The 25,954-nt window shown below is 39.2% G+C and overlaps 1 long non-coding RNA gene and 1 pseudogene across 3 annotated transcripts; one reads left to right on the forward strand and one right to left on the reverse strand.

Annotated features, from left to right (window-relative positions):
• The first annotated feature begins 3,596 nt into the window (after window positions 1-3,596).
• On the forward strand, window positions 3,597-25,750 carry LOC102723516 (uncharacterized). Of its 3 annotated transcripts, none has more exons than XR_429358.2 (3): window positions 3,597-3,714; window positions 8,140-8,257; window positions 25,574-25,750. It is a non-coding gene; the product is annotated as an uncharacterized LOC102723516 (long non-coding RNA). The 3 variants fall into 3 exon arrangements; XR_943769.1 differs by lacking the exon at window positions 25,574-25,750 and adding an exon at window positions 21,434-21,547; XR_943768.2 differs by lacking the exon at window positions 25,574-25,750 and adding an exon at window positions 17,012-17,171.
• RIPPLY3P1 (RIPPLY3 pseudogene 1) lies at window positions 25,452-25,954 on the reverse strand (annotated as a pseudogene).

Consider the following 25,954-nt stretch of genomic DNA (forward strand, 5'->3'; position numbering starts at 1 on the left):
ATATTTTGTATGCTGCATATATTTATATACTGTATTCTTACAATAAGATAATCTAGAGAAAAGAAAATGTTAAGAAAATTATAAGTAAAAAATATACTTACATCATCTTCACACTGAGTAGGCTGAAGAGGAAGAGAAGGGGTTGTTGGTCTTGCTGTCTCAGGGGTGGCAAAGGCAGAAGCAAATTCATGTATACTAATCACCCGAGAATGCAAATCAAAACCACAATGAGATACCCATCTCATACCAGCTAGAATGGCCTTATTATTAAAAAGCCAAAAAATTACAGATCTTGGCAAGGCTGCAGAAAAAAGAGAACAATTACACATTGTTGATGGGAATGCAAATTAGTTCAGCCACTGTGGAAAGCAGTTTGGAGATTTAGCAAAGAACTTAAAACAAAACTTACTATTTGACCCAGCAATCCCATTACCAGTTATATACCCCAGAGAAAATAAATGCCACATGTTCTCACTTATAAGTGGGAACTAAACATTGGGAACACATGGACATAAAGAAAGGAACAATAGAACTGGGGGCTGGGCGCAGTGGCTTATGCCTCTAATCTCAGCACTTTGGGAGGCCGAGGTGGGTCGATCACCTGAGGTCAGGAGTTAGAGAGCAGCCTGACCAATACGATGAAACCTCATCTCTACTAAAATATAAAAACTTAGCCCAGCTTGGTAGTGCATGCCTGTAGTCCCAGCTACTTGGAAGGCTGAAGCACCAGAATCACTTGAGCCCGAGAGGTTGAGGCTGCAGTGAGCCAAGATCGCAATACTGCACTCCAGCCTGGGTGACACAGAAAGACACTGTCTCAAAAAATAAAAAATAATAATAAAAATAAAAATAGACACTGGGGACTACTAGAGGGAGGAGAGAGGGTGTGGGGCCAGAGCTGAAAAACTACCTACTGGATACTATGCCCACTGCCTGGGGGACAGGATCATTCATAGCCCAAACCTCAACATCATGCAATAAACTCATGTAACAAACCTGCATATGTAGCCTCTGATTCTAAAATAAAAGTTAAAATTAGTTTTTTTTTAAGAACCTCCAAAAAATAAAATTTATGTATAAGTAGATCCACGCAGTTTAAACACAGGCCATTCAGGAGTCAACTATATTTGTCTTTTGCTCAAGACATATACAACTGATATTGTCTTTTTTTTTTTTTTTTTGAGACGGAGTCTCGCTCTGTCGCCCAGGCTGGAGTGCAGTGGCGCGATCTCGGCTCACTGCAAGCTCCGCCTCCCAGGTTCACGCCATTCTCCTGCCTCAGCCTCCCGAGTAGCTGGGACTACAGGCGCCCGCTACCACGCCCGGCTAATTTTTTGTATTTTTAGTAGAGACGGGGTTTCACCGTGTTAGCCAGGATGGTCTCGATCTCCTGACCTCGTGATCCGCCCGCCTCGGCCTCCCAAAGTGCTGGGATTACAGGCGTGAGCCACCGCGCCCGGCCTACAACTGATATTTTCTACTGTAAGACCCATAAAGAAGGGTTATGAGATCTGGTGAATAACGTCATCATATAAAGATAGACAAGTTCCTCAGAAACAAGAAACACTTTTGTGGGCTTATAACACATGTATATAGGAGGTACCCAGCACATAGTAGTTACCAGTAAATGATGATTGAAAGAATAATCAACCAGTTATCAAAATTTTGAATGACCAGTTGAATTAGCTATTTACATTTTTGGAGGACAAAATTTATTTCAGCCTTCACTAATAAGATTAACAAAATCAAGATTTCCACTGAAGTTTTTATATGAGATATGTTTTCACCACCAGGCTACCTCAATGCAGTAAAGGGACAGGAGCAACAAGCAATGCAATTTAGATCTTCCTTTGTCATTTGTAAAGTTTTTCAAATGTTTCTAAAATATGAAAAAAAAATAACTGACTATAAAGTTTCTACCTCCACTAGCAAGAGAAGCAGGAAAACATTTAAACCAGAGCAATATAACCTTAGCTTAGACATTGAGAGGAACTTTCTGGGCGCAGTTATGAGGTCTAGAAGCCATCCAAACTCCAGAATCCTACCCTTGATCAATGGGGAGATAAGTTTTCTTCTTTGAGTTTCTTTTTAGCTCATAAAAACATTAGCTCCCATAATTCTCCCACCCAAACAATAATAATGAAAATTGCATTTTCCCTTGAATTTGAACTAAAGGTTATCCCAGAAGCAGCGTATAACATGATAGCAAATTATCAAAATAGGAACTGTTATTCAGATATTAGAAACATCCAGACCATTCAAAACAAATGGATGTTTGATTTGTTAGCTATACTATATGAATGTTTTCCTGGAATGTTTTTCATTCAGTTATTTAATATAGTATAGATATAGTCCAGACTTTTATATTAGCTCTAGACCTGTCCATTGCACAGGGACAGTCTTTTACACTAACATGAAGTAAAGCACTATAAAAACATTAAAATTTTATTATACCTCAATGTAGTTTGCATATTTGTCCCTGCCCATATCTCATGTTGAATTGTAATACCCACTGTTGAAGGTAGGGCCTGGTGGGAGGTGTTTGGATCATGGGGTGGATCCCTCATGAATGGCTTGGGCCATTTCCTTGGTGATAAGTGAGATCTTGCTATGAGTTTACACAAGATCTGGTCGTTTAAAAGTGTATGGCTCCTCCCCCTATGCTCTCTCTTTCTCTCTCTTCTCTCTCTTGCTCCTCTTTTCGCCATGTGAAGCATATGCTCCCGCTTAATCTTCCATCATGAGTAAAAGCTCCCTCAGGCCTCCTCAGAAGCCAAGCAGATGCCAGCACCACACTTCCTTTATCTTCCCTCATGAGTAAAAGCTCCCTCAGGCCTTCTCAGAAGACAAACAGATGCCAGCACCACACTTCCTTTACACCCCGCAGAACTGTGAGCCAATTAACCTCTTTTCTTTCTAAATTACCCAGTCTTAGGGATTTCTTTATTGCAGGGCAAGAACAGCCTGTATTATCAAAGAAAGTAAGGTAAGTATTGCAAACTAAAAGAACTTCTTAGCCAACTAAAAGAACAGCCTGAAGTATCAAAGAAGGTTAGGTAAGTATTGCAAACTAAAAAGATTTCTTCAGAAATTTATTATTAATTCCAGCATAAACTTTTCCATTCCAACAAACTATTATTTTATAAATTCCAAAATTATATTTAATTTATATATAAGAATTTCCCCCACTCAACTTTATCATCATCACTTTTTACTAATTGCATTGTTTACTTGAATTACTTATTCAAAACAACATTTGATTATTACAAATAATGTTGCTCCATTTTAATTGAATCCTCGAGCAAGCCAGCATGCAGCTTCTCAGCTTGCATAGTAATTCATCAATATATTCATTATGTATTACTCACGGATAGGACATGGATTAAAATGAAAGATTTGGCTGAAGGTACATATGCTTTTCTTTAGGCAGAATAAAAGAGAAGAAATAAAATACATGTATAAAGCTACTTTTTTCTAACAGTTCAAATGCTTTATATTGTTTCAATTATTTTTAATGTTATGAGTCATCTTTAGGGAATTAAAAACATTTTTCTGCCTGTAACCCAGAGGGTGACTTTTTTTTAATCCACAGCCAAGGAGTGAATAACTTGAAGCCTACAACAGCTAACTCGTTAGTCTAAAGCTACAGAGAATCTTCCAGAGTCCAAAAGGCCAAACTTCCTGACTTAGTGCACTTTCTGTGACTTACAACAGGTATTTTTATATTTATAACAAGTAATTAGAAGGACCACAATTGCATTTTCATAGAATTTGTATGCTATCAGCAGCTACAAACTGACAGCTGGAGCAGAATCTTGCTCTACATTTAGAAGTATCTTTTAAGCCAGCACAGCGTTTTTTATTTTTTGTTAATAGATTTGAATACATTTAGGCCAGGATACACCGCCCAGCCCACCAGAATCCCCACCACTGCCTAACGTCTTACATTGGTGACTTCATCCTTTCAGAGGGCCTACCAAAGCCAAAGGCCTTTGAGTTTTTCCTTGACCTGTGTAGACTGTGTACTCTATTTCCAACTTAAAACTTAATTGTCCTTCATCTTTAAAGGCACTTCTTAATTCCTAAAGCTTTTTTTTTTTTTTCTGAGACAGTCTCACTCTTGTTGCCCAGGCTAGAGTGCAATGGTTCGATCTTGGCTCACTGCAACCTCCACCTCCCAGGTTCAAGCGATTCTCCTGCCTCAGCCTCCTGAGTAGCTGGGACCACAGGCATGCACCACCATGCCCAGCTAATTTTTGTATTTTTAGTAGAGACTGGGTTTCACCATGTTGGCCAAGCTGGTCTCGAACTCCTTACCTTAGGTGATCCACCCACCTCGGCCTCCTAAAGTGCTGGGATATAAAGTTTTCTTATTGTCATTCCTTCAATCTTCCAACTCAGTATCACTATCATCAATACACATTATTGACTGTATTCAGTCAGCAAATATCTGTTTTATTCTTATTAGTATGGTCCAGGGACAGCTGAGAGCAAACAAAATAGGCAAACAAAATGGGCAAAATAGGCAATCTGTCTCTCGTACTAGACTATGCACCCCTGGAAGGTAAAAATATCCTGCCTTCCAGGGGTGCACATTCTAGTAGAAGAGACAGATATAAACAAATCCAGATTAATGCTGTGGGTGGTAGAGTCCAGGAACTATTTTGAAGAGGATATCAGGAAGGTCTGTCTGAGGAGATGCCATTTTGAGCAGAGATGTGAATACAGAGAAGGTATGAGTCACACAAATGCTTAGGGAAGAACAAGTGAAAAAGCACCAAGACAGAAGCCTGCTTGATACACTTGTAGAATAATAAAAAAGAGCACAGAACATGGAGGAGACACAGGGAACGGGGTCAGAGGGCTGACCAGGGGCCAGTTCATGCATGGCTCTGGAAACCACAGTAAGGGCACAAGATTTTCTCCAAGTATGATGAGAACTATTGGAGACTTTGAACAAGGGAGTGACATGATTTGACTTGATACTTTTAAAAAATTAATGTGACTACTGTGTTCAGAATAGACTCTAAGGGGACAAATATCCTTAGGCACCTCCCTTCATTTTCGTTTTCATGAGACTTGTCTTACCACATATATTAGCTATTGTTCCAAGGGACTTGCAGCTCAACCTTTCTTTTGCAAACAGACCCTACCACCCTCTCCCCATTCCCACCATCCTCAAACACATTGCAGTTCACATTACAGGTTGAAATATAAAACAAACTCACATGAAAAAGTTTTCATGTGACTTTATGCAAGACAAACTAAATTTTTATGTACTTTAGATCATTGGTTCTCAAATCTATTTGTTCATCAAAATCACCTGGGAGCATGCGTGTGTGTGTGTGTGTGAGTGTGTGTGTGTGTGTGTGTGTGTGTGTGTGTGTGTTTGCTTGTTTGTTTTAAGGTCGAATTCTCTACTCCAGACCTAGCCCAAAAGAGAATCTTGAAGGTAGGGCCCAAGAATCTGCATTTTAAGTCAATCTTGAAGATTAGCTAGGCTTAGGAGCCACTATTATAAACTATAAGCTTTTCAGAAATTCAGAAACCATCAAAATCTGTCAGGGCTAAGCAATCAGAGAAAGTTCTGTGGCAGAAGCAGGATTTGACCAAGCAGAGGAGACTGTCAACTGTAGCAGACTGGAGACTGATGGATGGAGGAAAGGCACGGGTTCTCCAGGTCTGAGCATTACTATGACGAAGGTAAGAGGCAACACGAACTGGTGCATGTGTGATCCTCTGAGAGGGTTAGACTCCCAGAAAGCAGGGGAGATGCAGCAAGGAGTGACAGGATGCAAATTAGGCAAGGAGGCACCTTACAGTTAGTTCCAGTGAATAATAGCTCCAGCTTCAAGAAAAAGAGGTATGACACAAAGAACATGAGAAAGGGAGTCATGACCCTACCAGAGTATTAGCCCAGCTCTGAACTTACCACCTAAAGCCCCTCTACAGGTGATTCTGAGGGATGATTCTGAGCCAAACGATATTTTGTCCAGATTTGTGACTCTATGTAAAATGAAAAGACAGGACTAAATGACATCTAAGGTTTTTGCAGATCGAACCTTTATAATTCTATTTTTAAGTCCTACTATTTCTTCATTTCCAACAAGTCCATTTAAGTATTCTTTGCTGTTCTTTGAATTCTATTTCTCTCCAGTATGGAGAGACTAAACCGCCAAGTAATGTGGGCATTGGTAGGTGATGTTTTTCATTAATCTCACAATAGGCAGCCCTGCATCTACATTCTAGTAGCAATCAACCTGGAACAATACACACCTTTCTCCAAGGCTTGCTCTATAGACTCTGTGACCTTAATACTGATTTTTTGACAAAGATAAGGCCTTAAAAACACACACACACAGAAGACAGATTCATATGCCACATTGACCTGGAAGAATAAAACTCTGCAGTAAACAACATGTTAGATAAATCTGACATGACAAGCATTTCTGTGGTAGTAGTCATTTTTCCCAAAGGACTTAGTGATATATGAAGACTAACATACTCATGGGATAAAGACTGCACCTTCTGTTTCCAAGTATACGTGACACAATGCAAAATCAATTTTCTCCTCTTTTCAAAGTTAGTTCCAATCTGTCAAGATCCATCCCTCTTTGGTCTCATCTCTAGCTATGTCCCTTTTTCCATCATATTATTTCAAGACTACCATTGCAAATCACACAGATGAAGATTCAATGGAAGATATGTTGCTTCTGGAAGAAAATTTAGTATTATCTACTTTTAAACTGTCTTGCAGAAAGCTCATGAGATTATTCTCTGGAACAATTCTTTAGTTATTTTCTATAAAGTTAAGAGTAATGTCCAAGGGAGATTTCAAGGACAAGGGAATTATGATAAAGGTCCGCAAATGAAGCAAAAAGCAAAATGAAGTTAATAAAGCCTCTTTTTCTTGAGTCTGCCTAGTGCTATCACCCTGTACTAGATTAGGACTATCTGATGGCTTTTCCGAGTTCCCAACAAAAGACTTTCAGGATAAAAGCTGTTGAGGAAATAGAACGATTTACTCTGGAAGACCTAGTTCTGTTTCTCTTATATGATTTGGGTCCTGACAAATTATCTCTTTAAAGGTGATCCTAGGATGTAATGGAACTGATTTTCTATTGTAAAATCCCCAAGTAAAGAGTACCAGTAGCAAACCCCATTCATTGTTTTCTGACCTCTGTTTATTAGAGTCAAGTATTAAAAAAAAAAAAAAAAAAAAAGCATACAAGAGAATTTCAAAAGGTAAGAAGCTTGTAGAAAAAGGATAATGTCAAGACAAATGTCACTATGCATAAAAGCCAGTATATACTTGTTACGATGGCCATAAATCTGGGCACATACATGATGGATAAAAGAGACAGGGGTGGCCGGGCGCAGTGGCTCACGCCTGTAATCCTAGCACTTTGGGAGGCAGAGGCGGGCGGATCACGGGGTCAGGAGATTGAGACCATCCTAACACGGTGAAACCCCATCTCTACTAAAAATACAAAAAATTAGCCGGGCGTGGTGTCGGGCGCCTGTAGTCCCAGCTACTCGGGATGCTGAGGCAGGAGAATGGCGTGAATTCGGGAGGCGGAGCTTGCAGTGAGCCGAGATCGCGCCACTGCACTCCAGACTGGGCGACAGAACCAGACTCCGTCTCAAAAAAAAAAGAGACAGGAGTCTCTCTTGGCTGTAAATTATCAGGAATAGTTTTTTGAAAAATCAGATTTGAACCGGACTTTAAGAGATCAGCAAAGTTAAAACCTTAATTTTCTTAGGGTGCCCTCTGAGTGTCCTGTCAGTTCTAGCAGCTACGTGGATTGTACATGCGTTCCCTTCTCTCCATCTCTTCTGCCGCTGTCCTAGTTCCAGCCACCATCGTCTCTCACCTAAATGCCTGCAAAAGCCTCTTTTCTGCTTCCACTTTGGCCCCCTCCAATCCATTTATTGTGTTGGCCTACTTTCAGTTCCTGGAACATACCAAGCCTTTTCTACCTCATTGCCCTTGTCTGCTGTTTTTACTGCTATAGAGTGTCTGGCACATAGTAGCTGCCCAATAAATACATGTTGAATCAATGAGTAATTGTTTCTTCTAGTTTGTAAGCTTCAGAAAGGCAAAGACCATGTTTATTTTACTCCCTACCTTATTCCCAGAAGCCAGCACAGCATCTAACACATAGAGGGTGTGCCACAAATAGTTACTGAAAAAAGAAAACAAGGAATGAAGAATTGAATGAACAAATACCAAATGTGCTGCATGAATTTTGGAAGGGTATGTTGTTATCCTTGTCATTATTATAATTCATAGTTCCTTTTGAAAGCATATAATAACATCATGACCCATCACAGAATAAAGATAGGAAAGTCTATGTTAGTATTTGCCATGTTAGAAATGTTTGATAATGATATCTTTGGCTAAATGTGCTATTTTGAAAAATAATGAATAGTAATAAAATTTCATAATTGCACATAAATTAGCCCTACAGCATTATTACTAATACCTACTGTCTGTATTTCCAAATCCTAACTAATAACTAAATATGCATGTTTTCAGTCATTTTAACAAGCTTTTTACATGGATATTAAAAACACTAGATATACAATAGAAACGATCTTATTAATATCCATGTAAGGTGGTTTGATTCCTATAAAATAATTGCATATGCTCAGAGAAACATCATGTTTTCATACTGAAGGTAATATTACTTCAGTCATACTTGCAAAATAAATTATACTTTTTTATTACATAAAGACATATGCCATTATCTGTTGGATTTAACAAACATACAACATCAAGGCTGATTCATATTTAGCATCTCAGGGTATACCATGTAGTAATAACATACTGCAAAAGGAAAATTGTTTTGTACTCTTCCTTGTAGATTATTCTTTCTTTCCCATTCCCCATGTAGTGGTGTTGTGGTTTTTAAGTAACACTTTCTAAGCACAGAGATGTGCATGGCACTTGACCAAAGTTAGTAACAAAATCATATTTTGTTAGTCCATGAGGAACAGTAATATAGTACAAAAAACAGTGCAAACCCAGAAAACAAGATGAGAGGGTTGCTTTTCACTGTGGTATCAAGAGAGCTGTAAATACCTCTTTTGAGTAAGAAATTTAAAAGCATATGATACATCTCGAGGAGTGTATATAAGATTTGCAAAGTATAAATTTGACCTCATTCACCACAATAAAAATTTTAATCTTATAAAAAAACTCTATCAACTATTTTTCCCAAGTCAGAAAAACAAAAATGGAACTTAAGATAAAAATAAGTTCAAGTTGAATAAAAGAAATTGGAAGTAAAGTTTCCTAAAAATTGAATTTGTTATTTTGTTCCAAGAGTACTGGTCCAGTTTTTAATAAGGCAAAACTCTTCAAAAGAACATTACACTGACCTTTCAGGAGTTATTTCTCTGGGATTATAACTGACCTTAATAATTCTTTGCTGTCAATTTTTATAATTAATTTAATTGATCTTCTGCTGGTATGTTAATAATGCAGATATTTTATTGTAAGAAACTATCCAGCTTCATTGTTTGCTTTTCTTCCTGACCATTAAAAATAACACAGTGCACATGATTTTTTTTAATTTGATATGTTTACAAACCAGGCTTTCCATACCAATTTTAATAACTTTCTTCTAACTAGAGAGAAAACTGGAAAGTATAGAAAAGCTCTAATATAACACCATAATTCTACCTTCAAAAGAATCATGAGTAACATTTTCATGTGTCTTTTTCTATTTAATGCATTTTAAGCAGTCATTCAGGCAATTAATCAACAAATATTTATTGATTGTCTGCTATGTACTAGTCATTATGCTAGTTACTGGCAATGCCATGACAAACAGAACAAAGATGGCTGCCCCCATAGAACTCACGTAGTAGTGAAACTAACAAATATAATAGAGAAGTATAAATACTCTGAAGGAAAAGGATTTCTGCTAAATAGTATCATTTACAGAAATGAGGAACACTAGGAAAGAAAACATTTGAAGTAACCAAGAGTCTGGTTTTAGGCATGTTCAGTTTACAAGGGCCATTAGGTCCTCTGGATAGTGATGGTACCATATTGTTTCTAATGGTTTGTGGTCTGCTTCACTTGGCATTTTATGGGTATATCCTCATTTGAAAATTCATGTTTCTGTATGGTGATCTTAAAAATCTATCTAGAAATCCACCAAGATTCTGGCACCCAAAATGAACAAAACCAGATCCCTAGACTCTCTTACAGAATGCTGTCTTACAGGCTTATTTCTCCTGGACATGCTATAAGTGCTCTTTTATATTCATTATTTTATTTGTTCCTTACAATAGTCTTATGGATCATCCTGGGACAGACATTTGAAGCCCCATTAAGAATAAGGAAACTGAGACTCAAAATAGATGACCTGTTCAAGGTCACACAGCCAGTGAGTGAGGCCTGGAACTCTGGCTCCTATTCAACCACAAACCAGTTCTTTTTCATTTCAGCAGACTTTTGCACTTCACCATGATTTTAAAGTATATACATATAAATTGTTTAGTTCAATAAGTTTATTATGAAACTTGTTTTTTAAAAATGGAAGTACTACAGTTGGTCATGGAAGCTATAAAAACTCTCCCCATGGCTTTGAGAGCTTTGTTTACTGCTCATTGATCGCCATGACAATGCTACCATAAATAACCCCAGATAGATTGCTATGTATAATTACAGAAGACATCCATATGCATGAGTCACCTGTCAGCTCTCCAATCCCATCATTTCCATTACCTGTCAACATGTCATCAAGGACTCTGAGTTTATGACACAAACAAAACTTACTCTCTCAGGAAGTTGAAAATTATGCAACGCTACACAGATTCGTGGTTGAAGAAAACAAAATAAGCAATGCCCACTATTTATGAGGAAAGATGTGTATGCATTTTTCAGAACTGTTCTTTCTCCCACTTCCATAGTGTAAGGATACAGACTCAAAAACAGAAATTCAAATCCACTTTTTACTTGTGGTTGAACAATACCCACTGATTCACTTCACATCAACCTCAAGACGCAAGGCATGAAATTCTCTCTCTGAATCTTTTACAACAGACTACCAAATGGCAACTTACTGTTATGTGGTGCATGTCAGCCACAGCAATTTTTCAGGAAAGGCTTTGGTCACATGGACAGTATTCGTTTTGATGGGTCAGTACGAACAAGAAGACATTTGGACTGAGAAGGCTGGCCAGGTGCAGTGGCTCATGCCAGTAATTGCAACATTTTGGGATGCTGAAGCAGGAGGGTTACTTGAGGTCAGGAGTTTAAGACCAGCCCTGGCAACACAGCAAGATCCCATCTCTCAAAAAAAGAAAAATTTTAGATGGAGGAGGCTGTCAATAATATGAGACCAGAAAGGAATCAGAAGTCAGGAAAGACAGGCCAGCTCCAGGTTAGCAAGCTGAGCACTATGTAATTACTCAAACCCAGGAATGGGAAAAAGAATGAGATTACTAACAGTCAAGAGCCAGGAATCAATTAACCACAATGAGAAAGAGGCAAGAATACAATAATCCATGTAGATAATTCACAGGTAAGAGGAAGCAAGTAGTAGAGGTCCCAGCAAGTAAAAGATGTAAAGCCTGGGGAGACAAGTGAGTCAGTCCAAGGCATCAGTAGTCAAGGCACCATGTTGTAAATGTGACTCTGATACAAGATTTGTCTCATTCAAGGGCCTGTTAGATACTGCCTGCCAAGTCTCAGTGCACAGCTGCAAAGAGATAAGTGGCTTCACCTCTCTCAGAGACAGCTTCTGTTGGTTCTGAAAAAATACGCCAAAAATAAAAGCTCAAATAAGAGTAACTTTGCATTTTCTAATTGATCTAGTAAGTATATATGAATAAGTGTATGAGCCATTTAAACACAGGCTAATAATACACAAAACTGTACCCCTGAGTCTATTTCACTATCCATAGAAAATGACCAATATGGGAAATAATAATAATGATAGTGATAATAGTAAGAACTAACATTGCTATGTGTCAGGCACTTTTTATACAAGAAAATCACAGTAGGAATATTAATGGCTAATTTTATTGAGCACTTTTTAGCCACCAGGCTCTGTTTCTAGGTGCTTTATGTGATTCTTTTATTGCTCCCAATAATTCTCAGTGAGATACTGTTATGTCCATTTTACAAATGAGGCACAGAGGCATTATGCAGTTTTCTCAAGATCACACAGCTGGTGAGTTTGAATTTGAACTCATTTTCCAACCTCAGCAGCCACCATAGGAGGAAGGGCTAACCTGATACCAGACCTTACGATGGATCAAAAGAGAAGGGAAAATAGTTGCTCCATGCTCCAAAATCTTCCTCGTTTTCAATTCTGATTCCATCTAGCAAACAGTCTAAAACTCTCAAATTTCCTCCACCATCATATCCTTCATCTGACATCTGAAGATGCTAAAGGTAGGAAAGTAGCAAGGAACTAACATTTACTAAAAGCCTACTTAGTGCCGGATTCTATGCTCAATACTTTATATATGTGATCTCATCAGCAGACCCTTTGGGGGACCTTCAGAATGTTCAAACTTCCAATCAGGTCCCTCCAGAAATAGGACAGAAGATCAGAGCATCTCTTTACTAGTAGCAATCGTTGCACAAAGTCAGAGGGCAAACAACAAGTCATGTCCACAGGTCACAGCCAGACAGGTGAGTTTCAGAGGGGGATTTAGGTCAGAAATGGAAGGTAAAAACAGGAAGGGAACCTGTGACAGTCTCAATGAACACTACAGAAGAGAAATTCACTGGTGGGTGCCTGAACACTTACATGTTCATGATAGCCCTTGGTCTGAGGTATTCAGAAGAACAGACAAGTTCTTTGAACTTCTGAGGACTGAGCCAAGCTTCGTGTGTGGTGAATGAGTATCAGGCTCACTCAACACTGTCTTTCCAACCACTGACAAATATATGGGGGTAGTAATTCCTTTTCCACAATCAGATACTAAAAAATTGTAACAAACAGGAATATATCAAAAAGAAAATGAGGAATGAATACTCTCTTGGTCATGAGGGCAGAGGATAGTTAAGTGGCTTTCTCCACTTAATCTGTCTGCTCTAACCTCTCTCATGAGGGCATCTCACACATTAAGAAGGGACAAGAAAGCAACCAATTAAACATCTGTCACTACTTTCTTTTTAGTGTTTAATTTGAAACAACTTTCCATTTCCTTCTAAATGAGAGTTGATTATTCAAAGGAAAGCTGGCTGCATTGTACATGACTTTGGCTTGGCCCAGAAAGGCATTAATCAGCCAGTGCATCAACAGTGAAGCCTGCAGTTTCAACAAGATGAAAAAGGAATGTTTTCACAATAGTTCATCAAAGATGTCTGTGCGAGCATTGCACTCACTGACAATAAATTACAAGATTAATGAATATAGCCACCAGGGTGGTGCTCTGATTGTTACCCCCAAGCTGATTTTCTAACACTGCTAACAAAGGAGCCAAAAATCACATAATGAAACTATCATATCTAATGCCTATATGGCAACAGATATTGTCCATCGGTGAATGTGGGAAATGTTTCATGTTTTACTTGAATCTTAATTTTTCAGGTCTTCATTATAAGGGAGGTGACTACCCCAACTGACTTTGTGACATAAATCTATTTAGATCATTAGCTCTCACCCTCCTTAAGGAGCCCAAGTGTTTTTCCACTTCTGCTCCTTTTGCTTAGAAGGCACTTTGGCCAGTATTTATAACCCAAGAGGTACTACACCAAATGGTCATTTCCTTCATGATCATTCACAGCTACTCAAAAAATGTCCCTCTCTCACTTATCTCCCACCACATCCCCTCACGTGCCTTGTCTCCAGACTCATGGAGAAACTCATCTGTCCCCAAATACACCACGCAACTTTGTGCCTTTGATCATCATATTATTCGACTGGGGCTGTCATAACAAAATACCATGGGCTGGGAGGCTTAAACAACAAAAGTTTATTTTCCCACAGTTCTGGAGACAAAAAGTCCAAGATCAACATGCTGAAAAATTTGGTTTCTGATAATGGCTGTCTTCCTGGCTGGCAGATGGCCAGCTTCTCACTGTGTCTTCATATGACCTTTTCTCTGTGCATGCATGGAGGCAGAGAGTTCTGGTGTCTCTTCTTCTTATAAAGATATCAATCTTTTCAGATTATGGCGATTCATAGGCCCTCCTTAAAGGCCTTATCTCCAAATAGTTACATTGGGGGTCAGACCTTCAACATATGAACTTGGGGAAGGTGACACACAATTCAGTTCATAACACTTATGCACTACAACGAGCCCAGAAAGCATTTCTCTCTTCTCCACTGAGAGATGATCCACTGAGGTGTCCAGATTTCATCCAAGCATTCTTTTCCAAGAAGCCTTCCCCAGTCCCAGAATCCCAGTTGGGAATAATCTATTCCTACTGTGGAAATTATTGCATTCTCCTCCATGTTGTTTCTTATTAGTTGCTTATGTGTCTCCCTCCACTAAGTATTATAAGTTTTTTAACAACAAAAACTGTTATATTCATCTTGCATGGCCCACTACACCTAGACAGTCTTCTGTGTCGTGGTCACTCACTCCTATATCTTCTTTGCCTACCTCAGTGATACATAGTAGCCACTCAATAGATGAGAATAAATGAATTCTCTCCCTCTTTCTGCTACTGACATTTCGTCATTTCCCTTCAATGCCTTTTTTCCCTCTTCTTGAACTCTCTGATATAGTTTGATGTGTATCCCAACTCAAAGCTCATATTGAAATGTAACCCCCAATGTTGAAGGTGAGACCTGGTGGGAGGTGATTGGGTCATAAGAGTGGATCCCTCATGGCTTGGTACTGTAGTGATAGTGACTTCTCATGAGATCTGGTCATTTAAAAATACATAGCACTTCCTCCGTCACTGTCTTGCTCCTGCTTTTGCCATATGACGTGCCTGCCCCCTTTTACCTTCTGCCATGATTGTAAGTTTCCTGAAGCTTCCCCAGAAGCCAAGCAGACCTTGGCACCATGCTTCCTATAAAGCTTGCAGAACCATGAGCCAATTAAACTTCTTTTCTCATAAATTAGCCATTCTCAGGTATGTCTTTATAGCAATGTGAGGATGGACTAATACACATTCCCTTTTTCCTTTCCCACAACATGAATTAACATTTTTCAAGCCCCCTAAAAGTAGAGTTTGCTCTCTTCCCTGACTTCATCTCCTGTATTCTTTGCAAACAAACAATGACAGCTTCACCTATGAAGTTGCACTTTTATTCCAGCAATCCCAAAGTGCATCTGCAGCCCAGCCTCCTGTGGAGTTTGACTCCTGTATGCCCAGAGCCTTGCTTGGCATCTCTTGGATGTCCCACAGGCAGCCTGAACACAACAACCCATCTGAGTTTAACTCACCCCATATCAAATTAGCCTCCCAGTTCTGTAGATTAGACAGCCCCAACATTTCCCTTTCTGCTACTTCCTTTATTGAGCCAGGATGCTACTTTCCAGGACAATGATAACAATGATGGTGGGTGTGAGAGTGGGGTCAAAAAGTGGATGATGATGTGATTGGTGGTAGTGATGACAACAATAATAGCAACAACTTAATTATTTTTCCCAATTGCAGGCCTAGGCTCATTTCCACCACTCCCCTACATTCTCTTTTTGATCCCATCATACCAAATCCAATTTCCTCAGTTACATGTTATATTCCCTGCTGTTTCTTTCTATACACTGATCTCTCAGCCAGCAGAATCATCCTCCATCTTCTGCATCCAGTTGATTCTCACTCTTTCTTCAAGACTTAGGGTCAGCCACCACCTACTTTCGGAAGATTTCCAGGCTATCCTTTGTGCTCCAATGGCACAGAAAGCATACCTTTCCCATTACACTTGTGTTGGGATAAAATTTGGAAAGATAAACCAAGGGTTTTCCTTACTGACTGTCCTGATTTTCCTCTTACACAATTGAGACAGTGGTCTCCATTGACCCAGGAAAAAGATCATACACACACACACACACACACACACACACACACACACACCATGAACTATTCATATAAATAGAAATTGAGTATCATATTGTTTTCCTCAGTCACTAACTTGAATTATTCAGAGCACATGAGAACTTGGCTCAACTGTTTAAATATAAAAATATATATTGAGTTATACTAGGTATCATTTTCTTACTTACATTAAGTGAGCAGAGAACATTCTATTTCTTCATGGGTAAATGAAGAAATGAATGAATCTCAACTAAGAGTTATTCTACAGCACTGAGATGTTCTTGAGACTGCCATAGCTGCAGTCAATCTCAAAGTAGGTTTAAAAGCAATAAAATATCGAATAGAGTTGCAAAGTAGTCAGGTTTGGATTACATCCTTCAGACCAAGCCCATTATGTACAAATGATAGTGTGACTGTGAGATCTGCAACTGCCACTGCCATCTCACAGGGCTCCTTGAACAGTTTCATCAACATTGCCAAACACTAAATGATGAGACAGATCACCCTCATCCAGGGCCTGAAATGTTATCAATACTACAATATAGAAATGAGGTTTATCACATTTTAAAGTGGCTGGGTTTAAATGGATAACAGCAGAATACAAAGAGTTCTTTATGTACTCTTAGAAGACATAAGAAACCCTTAACAAATGGGATAAAACACAGCTTCACAAGCAAGAATAAATTTTGATTGAGCAGCTTCTCTCAGTTCAAGGACTGCAGTAGAACTAAGAGCTGAGGTTTGCTGAAAAAATGTCAGTGCAGGCAGACCAGCCCACAGTACTGAGGAATGTGGGAGGGATTAGTTCTATTTGACTAAGATTTCAAGATGACCACTCATCAATGTACACAAACTGCTTGATAAAAATGCTTCTGAAAGAAACTTATTCAATTGTCAAGGTTTTTAGTATGGGTGTAAATTTTATCCATCCCAATTTATTGTGAAAACAACTATTTACTGTCTAATAACTGGGTTTTTTAAATTTAATTCTACAAGTTACATTCAAACTAATGTTTGATTGCATTTAACCTACATTATCTTTCACAGACTGATTTTCTAAGGCAGAAGAAGACTAATAGTCCATGTTGCAAAGATCAACAGACCACAATTGTGATGACTCGAGCAAGCCATAAGATAACCCTTCTCAGAGCAGAGCGTGGAAATGTTCTTGCAGCCCCCATTACATGTGCAAAAAGTAATCATAAGTAATACATCACCTTCCCACACAAAGGGTAAAGAGATCCATATACACATATAACAGAGATAAGTGTAAAACAGCAGGACTAATATTCTTATAAAACTTACAGTAAGTCTCATTGCTTTGTAATTTTAATAAAAATTACCTTGAATTACAAACCATAATACCAAATAACCTTAATTCACATCATGAGGTATAAGTTACCAAGTACTTTCTTTTTTTTTTTTTTTTTTTTTTTGAGATGGAGTTTCGCTCTGTTGCCAAGCTGGAGTGCAATGAAGTGATCTCGGATCACTGCAACCTCCGCCTCCCTGGTTCAAGCAATTCTCCTGCCTTAGCCTCCTGAGTAGCTGGGATTACAGGCATGCGCCACCATGCCTGGCTAATTTTGTATTTTTAGTAGAGACGGGGTTTTGCCATGTTGGTCAGGCTGGTCTCAAACTCCCGACCTCACATGATCCGCCCGCCTCAGCCTCCCAAAGTGCTGAGATCCAAGTAATTTCATATATGTTATCTCATATATGATGTTTATAATATTACCCAAAGGTATCATCTCTAATTTCCGCCAAAGAAACTAAAGTTCAAAAAGGTGAAGTGGCTTGCCCAAGCGGTCATGCAACTGGTAAAGTCTGAGCCAGAGCTTCACCAATAAGTCTTCTAAATTCAGCATTTTTTCCAATGTACCACTGCTACCTCCATGTATCTATGTCTACTCAACTACATCGACATCCTATGAGCCAACTTCTTCAATAAACACTATGTTAAATGCTGGATATTCAAAGATAATCAGGTAAACTCACTCACCCCCCAAAAGCACACAATCTACTGTGAAGAGAGTAACACCATCAGCATTATCAAAAAAAAAAAAAGTAACTTTTAAAAATATTTACCATGTGCCATGCACTGTCCTAAGTTCTTTCCAATCATTATCTCAACTTAGTCCCATATAAACTCTGTGAGTTAGGTAGTAGTAATATCACCATACAGATGAGAAAATTAGGGCAAAAGCCAACTATTACAAATATTGACAAGTAGTAAAAAGAATAGTTCGGGCCAGGCACGGTGGCTCACTCCTGTAATCCCAGCACTTTGGGAGGCCGAAGCGGGTGGATCACTAGAGCTCAGGAGTTCGAGACCAGCCTGGCCAACATGGTGAAACCCCAAGGGTTTCACTAAAATACAAAAATACAAAAATTAGCTGGGTGTGGTGGTGGGAGCCTGTAATCCCAGCTACTCAGGAGGCTGAGGCAGGAGAATCTCTTGAACCAGAAGGCAGAGGTTGCAGTGAGCTGAGATCGAGCCACTGCACTCCAGCCTGGGCGACAGGGTAAGACTTCGTCTAAAAAATAAATAAATAAATAAGTAAATAAATAATAGTTTGGTACAAAAACAGCAATAAAGAAATGTCAACAAAATGGGTACTATTTGAGCTGGGCTGTAAAAGATGCACTGGGCTGTGAAGGATTGAAAGAAAGACGCTTATGGGCAAAAGACAGCATGAAAAAGGTAGCAAGGCTGACCAGAGGTACAAGGAGGAGCTGGTACCATTCCTTCTGAAAGTATTCCAATCAATAGAAAAAGAGGGAATCCTCCCTAACTCATTTTATGAGGCCAGCATCATCCTGATACCAAAGCCTGGCAGAGACACAACAAAAAAAGAGAATTTTAGACCAATATCCCTGATGAACATCGATGCAAAAATCCTCAATAAAATACTGGCAAACCGAATCCAGCAGCACATCAAAAAGCCTATCCACCATGATCAAGTGGGCTTCATCCCTGGGATGCAAGGCTGGTTCAACATACACAAATCAATAAACGTAATCCAGCATATAAACAGAACCAAAGACAAAAACCACATGATTATCTCAATACATGCAGAAAATGCCTTTGACAAAATTCAACAGCCCTTCATACTAAAAACTCTCAATAAATTAGGTAGTGATGGGACGTATCTCAAAATAATAAGAGCTATTTATGACAAACCCACAGCCAATATCATACCGAATGGGCAAAAACTGGAAGCATTCCCTTTGAAAACTGGCACAAGACAGGGATGCCCTCTCTCACCACTCCTATTCAACATAGTGTTGGAAGTTCTGGCCAGGGCAATCAGTCAGGAGAGAGAAATAAAGGGTATTCAATTAGGAAAAGAGGAAGTCAAATTGTCCTTGTTTGCAGATGACATGACTGTATATTTAGAAAACCCCATTGTCTCAGCCCAAAATCTCCTTCAGTTGATAAGCAACTTCAGCAATCTCAGGATACAAAATCAACGTGCAAAAATCACAAGCATTCTTATACACCAATAACAGACAAACAGAGAGCCAAATCATGAGTGAACTCCCATTCACAATTGCTTCAAAGAGAATAAAATACCTAGGAATCCAACTTACAAGGGATGTGAAGGACCTCTTCAAGGAGAACTACAAACCACTGCTCAATGTAATAAAAGAGGATACAAACAAATGGAAGAACATTCCATGCTCATGGGTAAGAAGAATCAATATCATGAAAATGGCCATACTGCCCAAAGTAATTTATAGATTCAATGCCATCCCCATCAAGGTACCAATGACTTTCTTCACAGAATTGGAAAAAACTACTTTAAAGTTCATATGGAACCAAAAAAGAGCCCACATTGCCAAGACAATCCTAAGCCAAAAGAACAAAGCTGGAGGCATCACACTACCTGACTTCAAACTATACTACAAGGCTACAGTAACCAAAACAGCATGGTATTGGTACCAAAACAGAGATATAGACCAATGGAACAGAACAGAGCCCTCAGAAATAATACCACACATCTACAACCATCTGATCTTTGACAAACCTGAGAAAAACAAGCAACGGGGAAAGGCTTCCCTATTTAATAAATGGTGCTGGGAAAACTGGCTAGCCCTATGTAAAAAACTGAAACTGGACCCCTTCCCTACACCTTATACAAAAATCAACTCAAGATGCATTAAAGATTTAAACATAAGACCTAAAACCATAAAAACCCTAGAAGAAAACCTAGGCAATACCATTCAGGACATAAGCACGGGCAAGGACTTCATGTCTAAAACACCAAAAGCAATGGCAACAAAAGCCAAAATTGACAAATGGGATCTAATTAAACTAAAGAGCTTCTGCACAGAAAAAGAAACTACCATCAGAGTGAACAGGCAACCTAGAGAATGGGAGAAAATTTTTGCAATCTACTCATCTGACAAAGGGCTAATATCCAGAATCTACAAAGAACTCAAACAAATTTACAGGAAAAAAACAACCCCATCAACAAGTGGGCAAAGGATATGAACAGACACTTCTCAAAAGAAGATATTTATGCAGTCAATAGACACATGAAAAAATGTTCATCATCACTGGCCATCAGAGAAATGCAAATCAAAACCACAATGAGATACCATCTCACACCAGTTAGAATGGCAATCATTAAAAAGTCAGGAAACAACAGGTGCTGGAGAGGATGTGGAGAAATAGGAACACTTCTACACTGTTGGTGGGACTGTAAACTAGTTGAACCATTGTGGAAGACAGTGTGGTGATTCCTCAGGGATCTAGAACTAGAAATACCATTTGACCCAGCCATCCCATTACTGGGTATATACCCAGAGGATTATAAATCATGCTGCTATAAAGGCACATGCACATGTATGTTTATTGCAGCACTATTCACAATAGCAAAGACTTGGAACCAACCCAAATGTCCAACAACAATAGACTGGATTAAGAAAATGTGGCACATATACACCATGGAATACTATGCAGCCATAAAAAATGATGAGTTCATGTCCTTTGTAGGGACATGTATGAAACTGGAAACCATCATTCTCAGCAAACTATCGCAAGAACAAAAAAACAAACATCGCATGTTCTCACTCATAGGTGGGAACTGAACAATGAGAACACATGGACACAGGAAGGGGAACATCACACACCGGGGCCTGTTGTGGGGTGGGGGGAGTGGGGAGGGAAAGCATTAGGAGATATACCTAATGTAAATGAGGAGTTAATGGGTGCAGCACACCAACATGGCACATGTATACATATGTAACAAACCTGCACGTTGTGCACATGTACCCTGAACTTAAAGTATAATAAAATAAAATAAAATAAAAATAAAAAGGTAGCAAGGCTGAAGAGCTACACTGCCTCCTCAAACATGTGATGTGCTCTTTGGCCTCCCTACCTGTGTGCTGTTCCTTTAGCTGGAATTCTCTTTCCTCTTATCCAACCTAACTACCTGTCGGGGCTTATTGATTAATTAGATACGACTGGAAAGAAAAATGACCTCAAGGATGACTCCAAAATATTTGAGTTGAATGATAGGAAGGCTGGAACTGCTAGCAACTGAAATGGAAGACAATGGGAGGAGGCATTTGAAGGGGAAGATGAGGGAAGCTGCAAATGCCCGCACCCAAGCATCCAGGCAAGCTGTTCACCCTCCACAGGCAGCATCTGCCGAAAGGATGAGAAGTATTTTTCTAATTTGCATAAAAGCAAATGGTATGATAACTTTAAGAAAAATCACAGTTTGGTTTCACACATGTTAAGGGATTTTTAAATATATAGCCAAGTAATTTGTCAAGTAAACAGTTGAATGAACAAATTTGGAGATCCCTAAACAATTCCAGAAGAGGAAATATAACTTGGGAGTTGCCAGCTTAATTATACTATTTAAATCCATGAGACTGGATGAGATATCAATGGAGTGGGAACAAATAAAGGTGAGATCCAAGGACTAAGGTCTGGAATATCCAGTGTTAATAAACCAGGAGTAACAAGGGAGACCAAGAAAGAATAACCAGTGAAGTAGGAGGAAACTCAAGAGGTGTCCTGGAAAATGAGAAGACTAATGCCAAATGCTACTGGTAGAGCAAGTAAGACAAAGACTGAGAGGTGACCCCTGGAGTTAGCAATAGCCCAGTTTTTAGTAACTTTAAGAGCAGTTCTGGTGGAAGAGTAAGAAAGGAAGCTTAATTGGATTGGGTTTAAGAGAGAATGGGAGGTGAGGAGTTGGAGACAGGAAGAAAAGACAACTCTTTGGAAGTTTGGCTGTAAAGGAAAGCAGGAAAATGGAGCAGTCGCTGGCAATGGTACTAACTACCATTTGCTGTGTTTTAAGTTGGGAGACATAACTGCATGCCTGGAAATACTGGAAATTTTCCAGTATAGAAAGGGGAAACAATGATGAAGAACAAAGAAGAGAGAATTAGTGGAGTAATGTCCTTGAGTAGATAATAAATGATGGGATCCGGGGAACAAGTGAGATGACTGGCCTCGGCCAAGAGCACAGACACTTCTTTCATAAGGATAGGAGAAAAGGCAGAGTCCAGGGCACTGACACAGGTAGGCAGGTAGAAGTAGTGATGGGAATTCTGGCATGTCTATTCTTATCTATTTTCTCAGAGAAATGAGAAGGTAAGTCATCACCTGAGAGCAGGGACTGCAAAATACTGTAAGCATCACTGGCAAAATATTAAAGTCTGACACACGCATAAAAAGGAGTTATCAAGAATGAGGAACAAAAGAAACTCTCATTCGCTACTGGTGGTCATGAAAATTGGTAAGCCCACTTAGAAAATAGTAACATTATTCAGTAAAGGCAAACATGTGCATATAGTATGACCCAGTAATGCCATTCCTAGGTGTTTATCTTATAGAATTGTCTGTGCATGATTATTGTCCTGTACAAGAATAATCATGGCACGATGCTCTTACAAAAGGTGGTTTTAAAAAACTTTTTTCAAAGAAATGTTAACCAATCATCAATACAGTAGTTACCACTGGGAGGAAGGAGGAGGCTGTGATCATGAATGACCATACTGGAAGATTCTGAAGCAATAGCATGTCCTATTTCTTAACCTGGATGATTTGTTAAACTCTAAATATATGCTTTATGCATTTTATCCTTATTTTTTGTTTTTTTCTCTCACTTTAGCATGCATCAGAAGCATTCTTATTTAAACATTTTTTAATGTTTAATTTCAACATTAAAAAAATATTTTTAATCCCTTAGTCATGCCACTTAAAGTTAACCCGGTTACTTTTGATTTACGCTGTTTCACTGAATAAATAGTCTGTCAATTCAAGATTCTCTCCTTCCCCTACACCATGCTTCTCCTGCAATGATGACAAAATTTCCCAAGGGGTTTATATGAAATCCTGACAGCTGGAGAAAGGCATCTGCTCCACATGTAATTACCTGTACTCACCAGCATCTACAAAAGTGTAGCTCACCCCACCAGTCACCGGACATCATGCATTGGTATCTAACACACATGTATATACTCAGTTCCTGCCTCAACCCCATGCCAATCTCAAAGTCAGTGCACACCGAATCCTCCTCACTGAGACCTGTGCCCTCTTTCAACCAAGCGACCCTCTCAGCACTTTTGCAAGGCCCTGCAGGCTCAGGGAATTTCAGCCACTTTCTCTGTGCTGCCCTGTTGAGCATGAGGCCTTAGTGAAGCTGCCCGGGCTTATTCGTCATTTGCTGTCCGTCTTCCTGCACCCATACCATGGCAAGCAAGGAACAAATCTTCATGCTCTGGCCTTCTCCCAAATCTGCCATGTTTCTCCGGCTTCATCCTCTTCACATCCATTCCCTACAAATATCCACATGCTGCATCCCCTCTATTTTCAGGTTTATTTAATACATTTTGTCCTCTGAGTCCATCAGGCTCTGACTTTTAATATTTAACAACAAAAGCTTTGGGGATCTAGAAAATTCTCAAGTGCCTGGTGTTTGTCATTACCTTTAATTTTTTCCGGTTTGCTTCATGTACTGTGAAGCCCTGTGATTAGGCATATACTTATTTATGATTGTCACGTCATCCTTACAGAGTGAGCTTTTTAACACTACAAAGACTCCTTTATCTCTTATAATATCCTTTATCTCAAAACCTGTTTTATCTGATATTGATACAGTTTACTCAACCTTCGTTTTTTTTGTTTTTTTGTTTTTTGTTTTTTTGTTTTTGAGATGGAGACTCGCTCTGTCGCCCAGGCTGGAGTGCAGTGGTGTGATCTCAGCTCACTGCAATCTCTGCCTCCCAGGTTCAAGCGATTCTCCTGCCTCAGCCTCCTGAGTAGCTGGGATTACAAGCACCCACCACCACACATGGCTAATTTTTGTATTTTTAGTAGACTCCAAGGTTTCATCATGTTAGCCAGGCTGGTCTCGAACTCCTGACCTCAAATGATTCACCTGCCTCGGCCTCCCAAAGTGCTGGGATTACAGGCATGAGCCACTGCACCCGGCCAATTTTCAATCTATTTTAATATTGCCCTACAGGTTGCTGAGACTCTGTTTATTTTTTCCAGTCTTTGGAAATCTCTGCCCTTCAGCCTGGGTGATTTCATTTTTTAAAATTTTTACATTAGGTAATAATAAAAATAATGTTAATAATAATAATAAAATAAATAATAAAATAAAATATATATTTATATATAATAAAATATGTAATGAAGTAAATAAAATAAATAAAATATAATACATAATAAAATACAATAAAATTATTAATAATAATGTTCGTCTATTTAAGTAACAAACCCAAAGCAGTCACCAACTAATAAGAGTTAAAGTTCTGATCCCTGTACCCATACACACAGCTTTATACAATCTATCGCACACATTTTTATCCAGAACTGTCTGCGAAAAATTCTTTTGTTATTTTATTCTGTGTATATTTTATTTAAGTCTTTTTATTTGTTACTCTTATCAAAATTATTTGGTGAGTTTTTTTGCTTTTTCATAAATGATTTTTTTCAAAATGCTACTAAACAACCACATCAACCTTTAAACAATGAATTAAAATTAAAATTTAATATCTAAATAGTTTTTACAAAAGCAGAAATAGCTAAAAATTGAGTCTCAGGTTAAGTGAGAGGTGGAGGAGAGTTACTAATCTATATAGAATAATTTATAATCTGATCAGCAGAGTGACAGTGCTGAATGAGCTTTGAAAGATGGTTTTGTCTGATAAGAACTCATGTTGACACAAACCTTCTCTTTGTCCTGGAATCTTTTCTCAAAGGTATGCATGAGTGCACTAAAAAAGAATGACCAAGAGAAAGAAAAGTAAGAGCTGAGTTCCAGCCATGAGTTAGAGTGCTGACCAGAGGCAGTCAAAGCAGCCCCCAGCCTCTGTAAACTCAGCAGAGGATGCACCGTGTCCTGGCTTGGCTGTCCCCAAAAAAGCATGGGGGGCAGGACCCAGAGCAGGGCTCAGGAGGAGATGGCCCCTGTGGAGCTGGCATGGGAGAGAGCCCTATTTGTGTGAATGAGGAGCACTCCCTGCCCCTTGAGGAGTCACCTCAGGGGAGCTGGTCCTCCACACAGAGGCCACCCCTTCTTTCAGACTGCCATCCTCAGTTTATGATCCTGTCTCTGCCCTTTCCCCCAGAGGACATTTTCCTCCAGACCTTCCGCCTCCTTGCACAGAAAATGGAAGAGCTAGTTTCTTCCTCTTGCTCTTCATCATCTGAATCAGACTCATCGTTATAGAAGTATATCATGGCTTGCACTGGAAAACTGACCAGCACTTTTTCCCCAGAACACTGCAAATATTATTGACATTTCAAAAAGGGTAAGTAAAGTCTTACAGGATGCAGAAACCTGAAGACTTCCTTTAATCCAAAAGTTTCTTGATCTCCCCCAGGTTTAAATTGGCTTCCAGTTCTGGTCAGCTCAGCATCTGCAGGTGTCAGGATCACAGGTCTCCACGCTGTGAGGCTCCATGCTGGAGATGGTCCCCAGGGCAGTGACAGACGTGCCCCCATGCCTC

Source organism: Homo sapiens, chromosome 14, assembly GCF_000001405.40.
Source record: "Homo sapiens chromosome 14, GRCh38.p14 Primary Assembly".
Taxonomy (NCBI): Eukaryota; Metazoa; Chordata; class Mammalia; order Primates; family Hominidae; genus Homo; species Homo sapiens.